Source organism: Homo sapiens, chromosome 4, assembly GCF_000001405.40.
Source record: "Homo sapiens chromosome 4, GRCh38.p14 Primary Assembly".
Lineage (NCBI taxonomy): Eukaryota > Metazoa > Chordata > Mammalia > Primates > Hominidae > Homo > Homo sapiens.
Genome location: NC_000004.12, coordinates 140,491,317 through 140,501,742, shown reverse-complemented (window position 1 = coordinate 140,501,742; position 10,426 = coordinate 140,491,317). Strand labels below are relative to the sequence as shown.

The 10,426-nt window shown below is 43.1% G+C and overlaps 1 protein-coding gene across 14 annotated transcripts in view, besides 2 other annotated features; it reads left to right on the top strand.

The window, feature by feature from the left end:
- Window positions 2,929-3,428: an enhancer, noted in NCBI's record as "H3K4me1 hESC enhancer chr4:141419469-141419968 (GRCh37/hg19 assembly coordinates)". NCBI's record gives its function as "activates a minimal SCP1, AML or CMV promoter by ChIP-STARR-seq in naive and primed H9 embryonic stem cells {active_cell/tissue: H9 hESC(naive and primed)}" and the evidence as "EXISTENCE:reporter gene assay evidence [ECO:0000049][PMID:30033119]".
- Window positions 3,429-3,930: an enhancer, noted in NCBI's record as "H3K4me1 hESC enhancer chr4:141418967-141419468 (GRCh37/hg19 assembly coordinates)". NCBI's record gives its function as "activates a minimal SCP1, AML or CMV promoter by ChIP-STARR-seq in primed H9 embryonic stem cells {active_cell/tissue: H9 hESC(primed)}" and the evidence as "EXISTENCE:reporter gene assay evidence [ECO:0000049][PMID:30033119]".
- The window catches only part of MGAT4D (MGAT4 family member D), a 56,032-nt gene continuing 49,055 nt past the window's right edge, over window positions 3,450-10,426 (top strand). For 10 of the 14 annotated variants that reach the window (XR_938697.3, XM_011531665.4, XM_011531658.4 and 7 more), the window contains exon 1: window positions 3,450-3,614. Coding sequence is in view for 11 of the 14 variants with exons in the window: in XM_011531658.4 (XP_011529960.1) it covers window positions 3,521-3,614 (94 nt within the window). In the remaining 3 variants the exon portion in view is untranslated. Of the gene's footprint in view, window positions 3,615-3,836; window positions 4,259-10,426 lie in introns of those variants that run through there. The other 4 variants (XM_011531653.4, XM_011531652.3, XM_011531651.3 and 1 more) reach the window with 4 other exon arrangements.

Here is a 10,426-nt window from a genome sequence, read left to right as displayed (position 1 = left end):
TGGCTTGTGTGGTAGAGGTGTGCAGGGGAAGCAGCTAGCCAACCAGAAACTAGAGTTTCCACTTCTTTTGCCTCTAGTTTTCTCACCAATAGAATTTGAGCAGAATTAAGTTGTGTCAATTCTGGTCAAACTTTCTTCTCCACATTCTTTTTCCTAATCCTCTGGTGGAATGAAGAGGATTTCTAAACCTTAGAGGAGAGAGGAAGCAACAAAATGGAAGGGGCTGTGCCTCTGACTGATCACGTGGAAAGCTACAAACCAACTGGAAACTCTGGGATTAGACATTACTTGAGCAAGAAAAAAAAACAACTCTATTACGCCATGGAGGTTTAGGAGTTTAGTTGTTCCTGGAGCAGGTATTAACTAATTTGTTGCTGATATGTTTGAATCAAAGTTAGGAAGCAAATAAATAGCAAATATGAAGAAAACGTGTTTATTTGGATTTGTGACTTGTATTAGTTATAAAGATTTGACTTATAATGGTATATAGTTTATATTAAAATGCCAAATGTATAGAAAATTTTAAAAAGCAGTAAGCTTTCCTTTTCACTCTTTGGATCTAAAAATATTGATCCAGTTCTAGTGTCTCTGCATTTAAAGAGTTTTGTCACATAAGGTCTCAGTGGTTTGATTAATTATTCTTCTGTGCTTAGCACCATGGTCTCTTCAGGTTTTCCAGTAGAGATGGACTATGTGGATAAACTAAAGCACTAGCTTTAGATAATTCTACTGGTTTTCTCCCTCTGATACCAATGAAAATCTACTGACACTCAGAAGCAATTAGAAAATCTATTGATATTCCCGAAGCAACTTAGAAAGATTTAATAACCAGAACCTCTTGATTATTAAACTAATTTTCCTCAACTTAGCAGTGGAAATGATCCCAGAACTTTATTTTTTTAGGCATATGTACTTGTCCTAGTAAACCTTTTAACACTGCAGTTTTTCTTCATACAACATTGGCCTTGTAAGCTATCGAGATGATTAAGCTTATCAAAATTTTGTTTGGTTCCCACTGTTTGGACTGACCCTACCCACATTATGTATGCCGTCTTGTTTCAATTATTTATTGTTTACTTGATGGCATTAGTTCTCTTTTAGAAATTTCTTTATTTTTAATAGACAATAATTGTATACATGTATGGGGTATAGTGTGAAGTTTTGAGGCATGTATACATTGTTTAATGATCAAATCGGGCTAATTAACATATCCATCATGTCACATACTTATTTCTTTGTGGTGAGAACATTTCAAGTCCACTCTTTTAGGACTTTAGAAATGTACAATACATTATAATTGACTATAGTCACCATGCTGTGCAAGAGATCAGTGGAAATTATTCCTCCTGTCCATCTGAAACTTTGTTGGGAGGGTTAATTCTTAAGCAGCTTTTCCTTCTCTGTTTCCCATGCTCCCTTGTAGAAATGGGATGTCAGCTTCTGCCCACAGCCAGGTCTTTTTAGAACTTGTGTATCATGCATGACTACACAGCAAAGGAATGAGGGAACCCTCTTTTCTCAGGCATCTACCGCAACTATCCTTCCCTAGACCTCCATAACCATTTATGCTAACACGTGTAAGTACATTTCTTTGGACAACTACCAGTAATTCAATCTGCTTTGAATATATTTCTCCCTCAACCATGGGTGTAACTTAGGATCATTTTGGAAGCTCCTATCTGCAAGTACCTAGGGATATATATCAAAATGAAAGGCAGAGGCTTTACATCACCTTGTCCAACCCATGGCTGGTGGGCAGCATGTAGCTCAAGACAGCTTCGAATGCGGCCCAAACCAAATTCGTAAACTTTCTCAAAACATTATGAAATGTGTGTGTGTGTCTGTGTATGTGTGTGTGTGTTTTAGCTCATCAGCTATCATTAGTGTTAGTGTATTTTATTTGTGGCCCAAGACAATTTTCCTTCCAATGTGGCCCAGGGAAGCCAAAAGATTGGACATCCCTGCCCTACATACTAAATAAATTCAGAGAAGGGGAAATCAGAGTGGTCTGCTGTAGCCAGGTTTTGATTCATGAAACAGATGAAACATGAGACCTGACGATGTGGAAAAAATTTCAATGGTCAGAGAGGACACTGGACATTGTGGGCAGGGGGCAGACATAAAGAGAAAAGGCACAGAAGGAGAGAAGTGAACATGACATGTTCAGAGTAGGATTGAAAAAAGAGTCTGGCAGGTGCCAGAGGCATGTAAGGGCGCCCTGGGAGATGAGAAAGCAGTGAGTGGCCTTCGATTGAGTGGGTCCATTTTCATTCAGGAGTGGAGCTACGTAAACAACAGTGACAGCTGACTGTGGTGAACTAGGAAGAGTATCTGGTATTGAAGTGTGGATTGCAGAGGGTAGATCCTGCAGACAGTGAGACCAGTTTGAATGTCACTGTGATCATCTGAGTATTGGGGATAGTAGCTAGCAACAGAAACACAATCCTTTAGGTAACTAAAGATTTTATAAATAATGAGATATAATGAACCAGAGTCCAAATGATTGTAAGAAGAACTATGATGCCACTGATAAAATCAAGGGACTCTGGGAAAACAGCTATTAATAGCTTGGTGAGGAAGTTTGGACATCTTGAATCTGATGTGGGACATTCAAGCTGAAGGGCTGGGTAGGCAACTGAAAATGCAAAAACTGGACCTCAAGTAAGAAGGCAGTGAAATGCTGAGTATGGAGATCTCTCTTTATGCTGAATAGCTTCCTTCTCCCACCCTAATCTTCCCTACGTTTTCTCCAACCTGCTCCACAGCCTAGAAGCCAGGTTTGGACCATCCAGTACATCAAGCTGAACTTTCTTGTCTTCTGGTTTTCAGTAGAGCTCAGCCAAAGGCAAGCACCGGCAACAGACTGAAGGGGTGAAGGAGAACATAGTTGAGGTGTCTCTCCTGGCTCCTTGTTTTGAGATCTGGCTGGGTCCCGGCTCAATGGAAAGTCACAGCTCCTAGCCATTAGCACATGAGAACACGCAGGCTATAGTGGCATCCTCAGGCTGGGGTATGTTCAAATCTTTCTTCCCCTTCAAGGGGACAGAAGCCAGCCCTTCCAACGTGCAGGGCTGATTTGAAGTAGAATGTTCAGATATTATAACAGACTGCCAGTGAGTCCTCAATGAGAGGAGAGCTTAGAGGGGAGAGATCAAGGAGTCCATAGAGAGTCTCATCCTACTGATGCTCTAGTGTTTCTCAGCTTGGGTAAAGCTTTGATAAGCCACTCGAGGAAAGTCACCTAACAGTTATTGCGCACCCACCACGTGCCAGGCAATGGGGCGCTTTCCCTAGTTTATCGTTTTTAACGACCAGTAGCCCTGGCCAGCGGTTTATAGCACGCGCTGAACCCTAGAGCAGGAAGCAAAAGGTGCAGAAGTTCTGTGGCAAGGCGGCTTCCCAGGGCGGGTGTGCTGGGGACCCACGCGGCACCGCGGGGAGGGGGCTCTGCGCGCTCAACCCCGTCCCTGGCATTATCCGCCGCCTCCACCCGCCGGCCTCCCGCAGCCTGGCCAGGGCCATGAGGACCAAGCAGGTGAACTTGCTGATCACCCTGGTCGCCGTCGCGTTGTTCAGCTTCTCTTGCTTCTCCATCTACAGGATAACTCAAACCAGTAAGCGGCGGGCCCTCCTCCCGCCTCCTTTCCCGCCGCGGGGGCTTCGGGGCTGCAGGAATGCAGGCGGGGCAGGGTCGGCGGGTGCGGAGGCGATGCGGGAAGCTGGCGGCGGCCGCCCGCGCTGGCACTGGGAGGCCCGCGTCGGTGCCTTCCCGAGGCCGCGCCTACCCCGGTCAGCGGCGGCTGGGCTGTAACCCGCGCCCCGACCTCCTCCTCCAGGGCCGCGTCCGGCCTGCACGCGCGCTAACGCATCTGGCCCAGGGTACCCGCCGCTCCCTTTTCCTCAAAGGTTCAAGGACCCCGTCTGTGCACTGCTTTTCCCCTCTCCTGTTCTTCCTTCTCGAAACTATGGCTGTCTGACCCCAAGAACTGCTCTTACACAGCCAGCATCTGTCCGCATCTTTCCTCCTTCGTGGTCTGGGTTACATCACCAGGCCCCGCTTCATGCCTCCCTCCTCCCTGGAGTGTTTTTTGCGTACCTGAAAAGAGGTGGTAGAAAGGAGAGGGACGTCCCTGACCACCTACAGCGCCGGCCCAGCGCCTGGACTTCTCCGATGGACCGCAGGCCTGTGTTCCGCTCCCACACACACTCAAGATGCAATTTCTCCTGGCCCATAGAAGTGCCAATTTAGGAAACAAAGGTACAGGTTGCCCAGTTTAATTTCAATTTCAGATAAACAATTATATATTAGTATAAAAAATTGCATGGGACATAATTATTCTAAAATATTTACGTCTTTTTTATTTTAATTTCAAATTTAACCAGGTATCCTATATTTGATCTTTTAACCCTAGTTGTCCGCGGTGTAAAATTTTAGCATTCAAGTAGTTAAATTTTTCAGTTTAAGACTTAGGAACCCTGTAAATTATGAACCCAGCCTTCCACGATTGCTCTTACGTTGTTTTCAGTTAAATTTTCGTTTATTTACACATGTATGACTTAAGTGCACACAAGGTAATCTTGGTAGGAGTGCTGAGGTTGAAGTTTGGGAGTGGCTTCATGTTTTAGCCCTCCAGTTAATACTAGATTTTATCATCATATACACAAAATATTCTATATCCTGCTTGTTTCAAAGATTAGGAATGCATATTAATTTATCTGCATTATAATATTTCTACTAATCTTTATAGTCATTTGACATAGTTTCCCTCCTCTTCATTTTCTATAAAGAACATCATCCAAATGTCTATTTTAGCACAATGAACAATAAGCACACTTATAACAAAAAATAAATGATTTCTTTTAATTAGAAAGCAAAATGTAAAGTTTTATAGTAATTTTTTTTTTAAGACAGAGTTTTCACTCTTGTTGCCCAGGCTGGAGTGTAGTGGCCACTGCACTGCAACCTGTGCCTCCCAGGTTCAAGCAATTCTCATGCCTCAGTCTCCTGAGTAGCTGGGATTACAGGCATGTGCCACCATGCCCGGATAATTTTTGTATTTTTAGTAGAGATAGGGTTTCACCATGTTGGGCAGGCTGGTCACAAACTCCTGCCCTCAGGTGATCCACCCACCTAGGCCTCCCAAAGTGCTGGGATTACAGGCATGAGCCACCACACCCAGCCTAGTAATTTTGGAAGGTAATTTAGAATGTTAACCTCAGAAGTTTTAATACCATTAATGATTTTATAATGAAACTGTAGACTTTGAGATCCTTACAATCATTTTGGTGTGTTTTCTGGTTATGACAGGGAAAAAGAAGTTCGATTCCTCAAAGCATTTATGTCATCATCATTCATATGTTCAAGTTCAGAAGCAAGATACTGTTCTTGAGAATGAAACACTCTTAAAATAACAGACAAATCAGATTTTTTCATTTTTTAGGTATGCCTTTCTGTGGAACTTAGCTCTAAAATAATTAGGATATCAATCCTATAATGAGCTGTTCTCACATCAACAAAAGAAAACACATACTTCACTTAGTTTCTGAAGTAATGATTTTTATAAAGCACCAGAGATAGTCCCAATGTCTTAAAAATTTAATCTATAGTTGTCATTCCTATCAGTGAAAATTTGGGAACGTTTATTAGAAAGATGGCCACCACCTAGTGCTTTATTTTTTCTCCCTCTTTAAAATTAACTAAATTTTGCCAGGCGCAGTGGGGTGGCTCACACCTGTAATCCCAACACTTTGGGAGACTGAGGCAGGTGGATCACAAGGTCAGGAGTTTGAGACCAGCCAGGCCAACATGGTGAAACCTAGTCTCTACTAAAAATACAAAAATTAGCTGGGCATGGTGGTGTGCCTGTAATCCCAGCTACTCAGGAGGCTGAGGCAGGAGGATTGCTTGAACCCAGGAGACAGAGGTTGCAGTGAGCCGAGATCACGCCACTGCCCTTCAGCCTGGGTGACAGAGCAAGACTCCATCTTGGAAAAAATAAAAACTAAAAAATAAATTAAATTAAATTAACAAAATTTTATGGATAGATAACCTTTTTGTTCATTTTTATGAGCTCATAGTATTAACAGTTCATAATTTGATGAACAAATATGCAAGCTCTGTGAGGACAGAACATACTTCCTGTTTTTACCTGTTCTGTTGTGTTCACTACTGTGTCCCAGCATGTGGAAAACTACATGGCATGTAATGAGCATGCTAAATATTGGATGAATAAATGAATGGTTGAAATAATGAAAGACTCAATGAGTTTAATAACTACCTATTCATGTTGTAGGCACCAAGTGAACGGCATCAAAGGACACCCCCTCCCTTTCATGAAGCTTACATTCTGCTTACGGGAAGTAAACAACAAACAAATGATATAATTACTATATGATATCAGGTGTTGGCAGGGTTAGGGAAAGGAAAGTGCTGTTTTAAAGGAAAGGGCTGTCAGAGAAGGATTACCTGAGCAAGTTATATTTGAATAGATTCTCAAATGAAACGAGGAAGCATCATGTGTGGATATCTGGGGGAAGAGTATTTCAGACAAAGGGAAAAGCAAGTACAAAGGCCCTGCGGTGGAATCTCCTTGATTTGTTCGAGAAACAGCCAGGAGGCCAATGTGAACAGGGGGGAGAGTGTTAGAAGTATTATATCATGGGGACCATAGTAAGGACTCTGCATTTTATTGTGAGTAAGATCGGAAGCCATCAGAGTTTTGTGCAGAAGAGTAACATGATCTCACACATACATTTAAATATTATTGGATGTGTGCTATGAAAGAAAGAAGAGAATTGCGGGATGCTCCAAGAATTTTTAATTTAAACTAGGGTTTCTCAACCTTAGCGCTGTTGACATTTTGGGTTGGGTAATTCTTTGCGGGGAGAGGGCAGTCCTATATATTGTAGAATGTTTAGCAGCATCCATGGGTTCTATCCAGGATATGCCAGGAGCAACACCCCCTCTCCCGTTGTGACAGTGTCTCCAGGCATTGGCAAATGTCTCCTGAGGGAGAAATCATCCCTGGTTGAGAATGAGTGGCTTAAATAATTAGATAAATGGAGCTGCCATTTACCGAAATAGCAAAGGCTGGGGTAGGAGCAGGTTTGGGGGTAAGGTCACTATTTCTCTTATGTATGAAGTGCTTATTAGAGATCCCAGTGAAAGTGTTGAATAGGCAGTTGGATATATCAGTCTGCATCAGGATTAGCAGTATAAAGTTGAGAACTGTTAGCATATAAAGCCATGAAATGGGATGAGATCCCCTAGGGAGTGAACAAAAGGAGTAAGTCTTGGGGAATTTCAGTATTTCAAAGTAAAGGAAAAGCTAGAAAACTGAAAGAGCTAAACCAAGAAGATATTTCAAAGAGGAGCGTGCAATAGTGTCAAATAATGCTGCGAGAACATTCTCTAGTAATGAAAAGCCATCTCACTCACAATCTTTGAAGTTATCATTCCCACATTCTTAGTGAATGCAGCAGGCCCTTGATCGCCAGAGTCTCAGTTTGAGTAGTACTTCATCCGGGTCACCTGGAGATGATAATTAAGGTAACTGTTTTGCCAGTGCCTGTCATGGAATTCTAGTGTCCTGTTTTCCATGGGCAGTGTGGTGGGTTGTCATTGCATTTAAGCTCAAGTACATCAGGTAACCAATTCCAGATTTTCTTCTTTGAGAGTGTTTCCTGGGTAATGCAACCACTCCAGGAGCCCCTAGTCATCTGCTAGCTACCTCCCTTGGAAAAGCCAACACTTGCCTGCCACTTCCATTGACAATCCTGGCCCTGTGGCTGGCCTGCTACTACTCTTGCCTCTGGCCACTGCCTCAATGTCTGACACCCCAGCAAAGGCTGGCAGTTTGGTGGAAGAATCACCAAAAGGAGAAATACTACCTCCTTTCATACACCCTCTATTTTAGCACAACTGCCTCCCATTGGCAAAATATAATGAGAATACCACTTGCAAGGAAATCTGGGACAAGCAACAGGTTTCCAGTTTGACCATACAAAGGAAATTTAGAGGGGCCTATAAAGACAGAGTGTCAACAGACACAATTTTTAGAAACTCTTGGAACAAAGAAAACTAAACAGCATCTTATATAGGGACATCCATAAGTATGATAAAATTACATTTTAAAAAATAAAGGAACAGGCCAGGCACGGTGGCTCATGCCTGTAATCTCAGCACTTTGGGAGGCCGAGGTGGGCAGATCACGAGGTCAGGAGATCGAGACCATCCTGGCTAACACAGTGAAACCCCATCTCTACTAAAAATACAAAAAATTAGCCGGGCATGGTCGTGGGCGACTGTAGTCCCAGCTACTGGGGAGGCTGAGGCAGGAGAATGGTGTGAACCCGGGAGGCAGAGCTTGCAGTAAGCCGAGATCGCACCACTGCACTCCAACCTGGGTGACAGAACGAGACTCCATCTCAGGAAAAAAAAAAAAAAAAAAAAAAAGTAAAGGAACAATAAACAGATACAGTTTGGGAGAGTACCGTAGTATCATCATGAGATGGGGTGGGAGAGGAATCAGAGGTGGTAGCCGAGGCATCGGGTAACTTTCAGTTATTAGCTTGAGTGATGAGCTATTAATTTTACATTATGTTGCGGAACTTACCTATGTATTACATGTCTTCTTTTGCATATATAACTTTTTAATCAGTTAAAAGAATTTGTATAGTGGGAATAAGGAAGCAAGAAAATGGAAATGATAGACATACAGTACCCAATTCACTTAAAGATGTAAAAACAATAAGAATGTATTTTTGAAAAAGTTCAACTTGGGATATAAATACAAATGACTTTTTATTTTTCCAGTAACTCCTCATATGTGTTCTATTGAGCCCCCTTCTCTGCTTAGATGTTTAGAGAGACAATGAAGACTTATTATGTGTCTTTTTTGGTCACTTTCGGTTATTCAGTCTCATTCCTGTTTTTAAAGAGCCTGTTTCATTATTTTTAAAACTTTAATCTCCTAGTCAACTTGAAACTTTCTTTTCCTTTCCCTGCTGGACAGGCAAGACTTGTGGTTCAAGGAAAATGGAATGGCAAATGAGAAAATGGCAAAACTTCCACAAACACTAGTGGCTTTAAACAATCAATTTTTTTTTTTTTTTTGAGACAGAGTCTTGCTCTGTCATCCAGGCTAGAGGGCGGTGGTGCAATCTTGGCTCACTGTAATCTCCACCTCCCAGGTCCAAGCAATTCTCCTGCCTCAGCCTCCTGAGTAGCTGGGACTACAGGCGCGTGCCACCACTCCCAGCTAATGTTTGTATTTTTCATAGAGACAGGTTTCACCATGTTGGCCAGGCTGGTCTCAATCTCCTGATCTCGAACAATCACTTATTTTAAACTCTTGATTTAGTAATCAGAAATTCACGAAGGGCTCCACTGGGCAGTTTATCTATAATCTGAGGTGGTGTCAACTGGGACATTTGGAGCTGAAGGCTCTACTACTAAGAAGTCTTTTTCCCTCACAGCTCCAGCATCTCTCTCTCCTCTCCCGACACAGTGGTGCATCCTCCAAAGCCTCTCCTCGTGGCTTGTGTTTGTTTCTCACAACATTGTGGTCTTAGCAATATTATACATTTTCCCCCCCACAAGGCAACTACCTTTTAAAAGGCAGGAAGTGGAAACTGCCAAGCCAGTTAAAGGCTGTACCCCAAGCTAGTACTGCATTACTTTTGCTATATATTACTATAGTGAAAGCAGTCATAGGGTGAACTCAGATTCAAGGAGGTAGAGAAATTGACTTCTTGATGACTGACTGGGAAGGTCAAAGTGCACAACACCATTTGACCTGGAGGCTATCTTTGGAGAAACAGTCTGCTGCACCCCCCTCCTCCTTTCTTGTGCTTCCCTTGTGGTACTAGGGTGGGAAAGAGCTGGGGGGACAGAGGTTTTCTTCCATGACAGGAGCCTGGTGGTTTCAATTTCTCTGGAAGACACTTGGATGTGGCAGATATCTGATGCTCTTGTAGGGGTAGTTTGTGGCTGCTTCTGAGGGCCTGCTGTGGTGTCTCCGCTCTCTGTTCCCTTAAGGGATATCCATCTCCTGCTTGAATTCTTCCTCCCTACCTCTGCCTTTGCCAGAGCCCCTTGTTGCTGGGAATCTTCTGCCTGGCAGATGACCTTCTTGTAGATGACCTGCAATATTCACTTGAGCCACAGCCGACTCCTATGTCTTTGGTGCTTCAAGCTGCATGCCTGCAGGCTACTTCATATGTTCCCCCTCTTGGCTTAGTAGGATCTCTCCCTTTCTCCTGCCCCTTTTCATCTGGCAGCATGAGAATTTTGGTAGGTCTAGCAGTTCCACAATTTTCAGGGTAAAAATGTTCCTCAGCCCCTGAATTGGTGAGGAGAGGGCTCATTCTAGAGCACCCAACTTTATTTCTTGGGGATCTCTCTTCCCTTGATGGAAGGGAAACA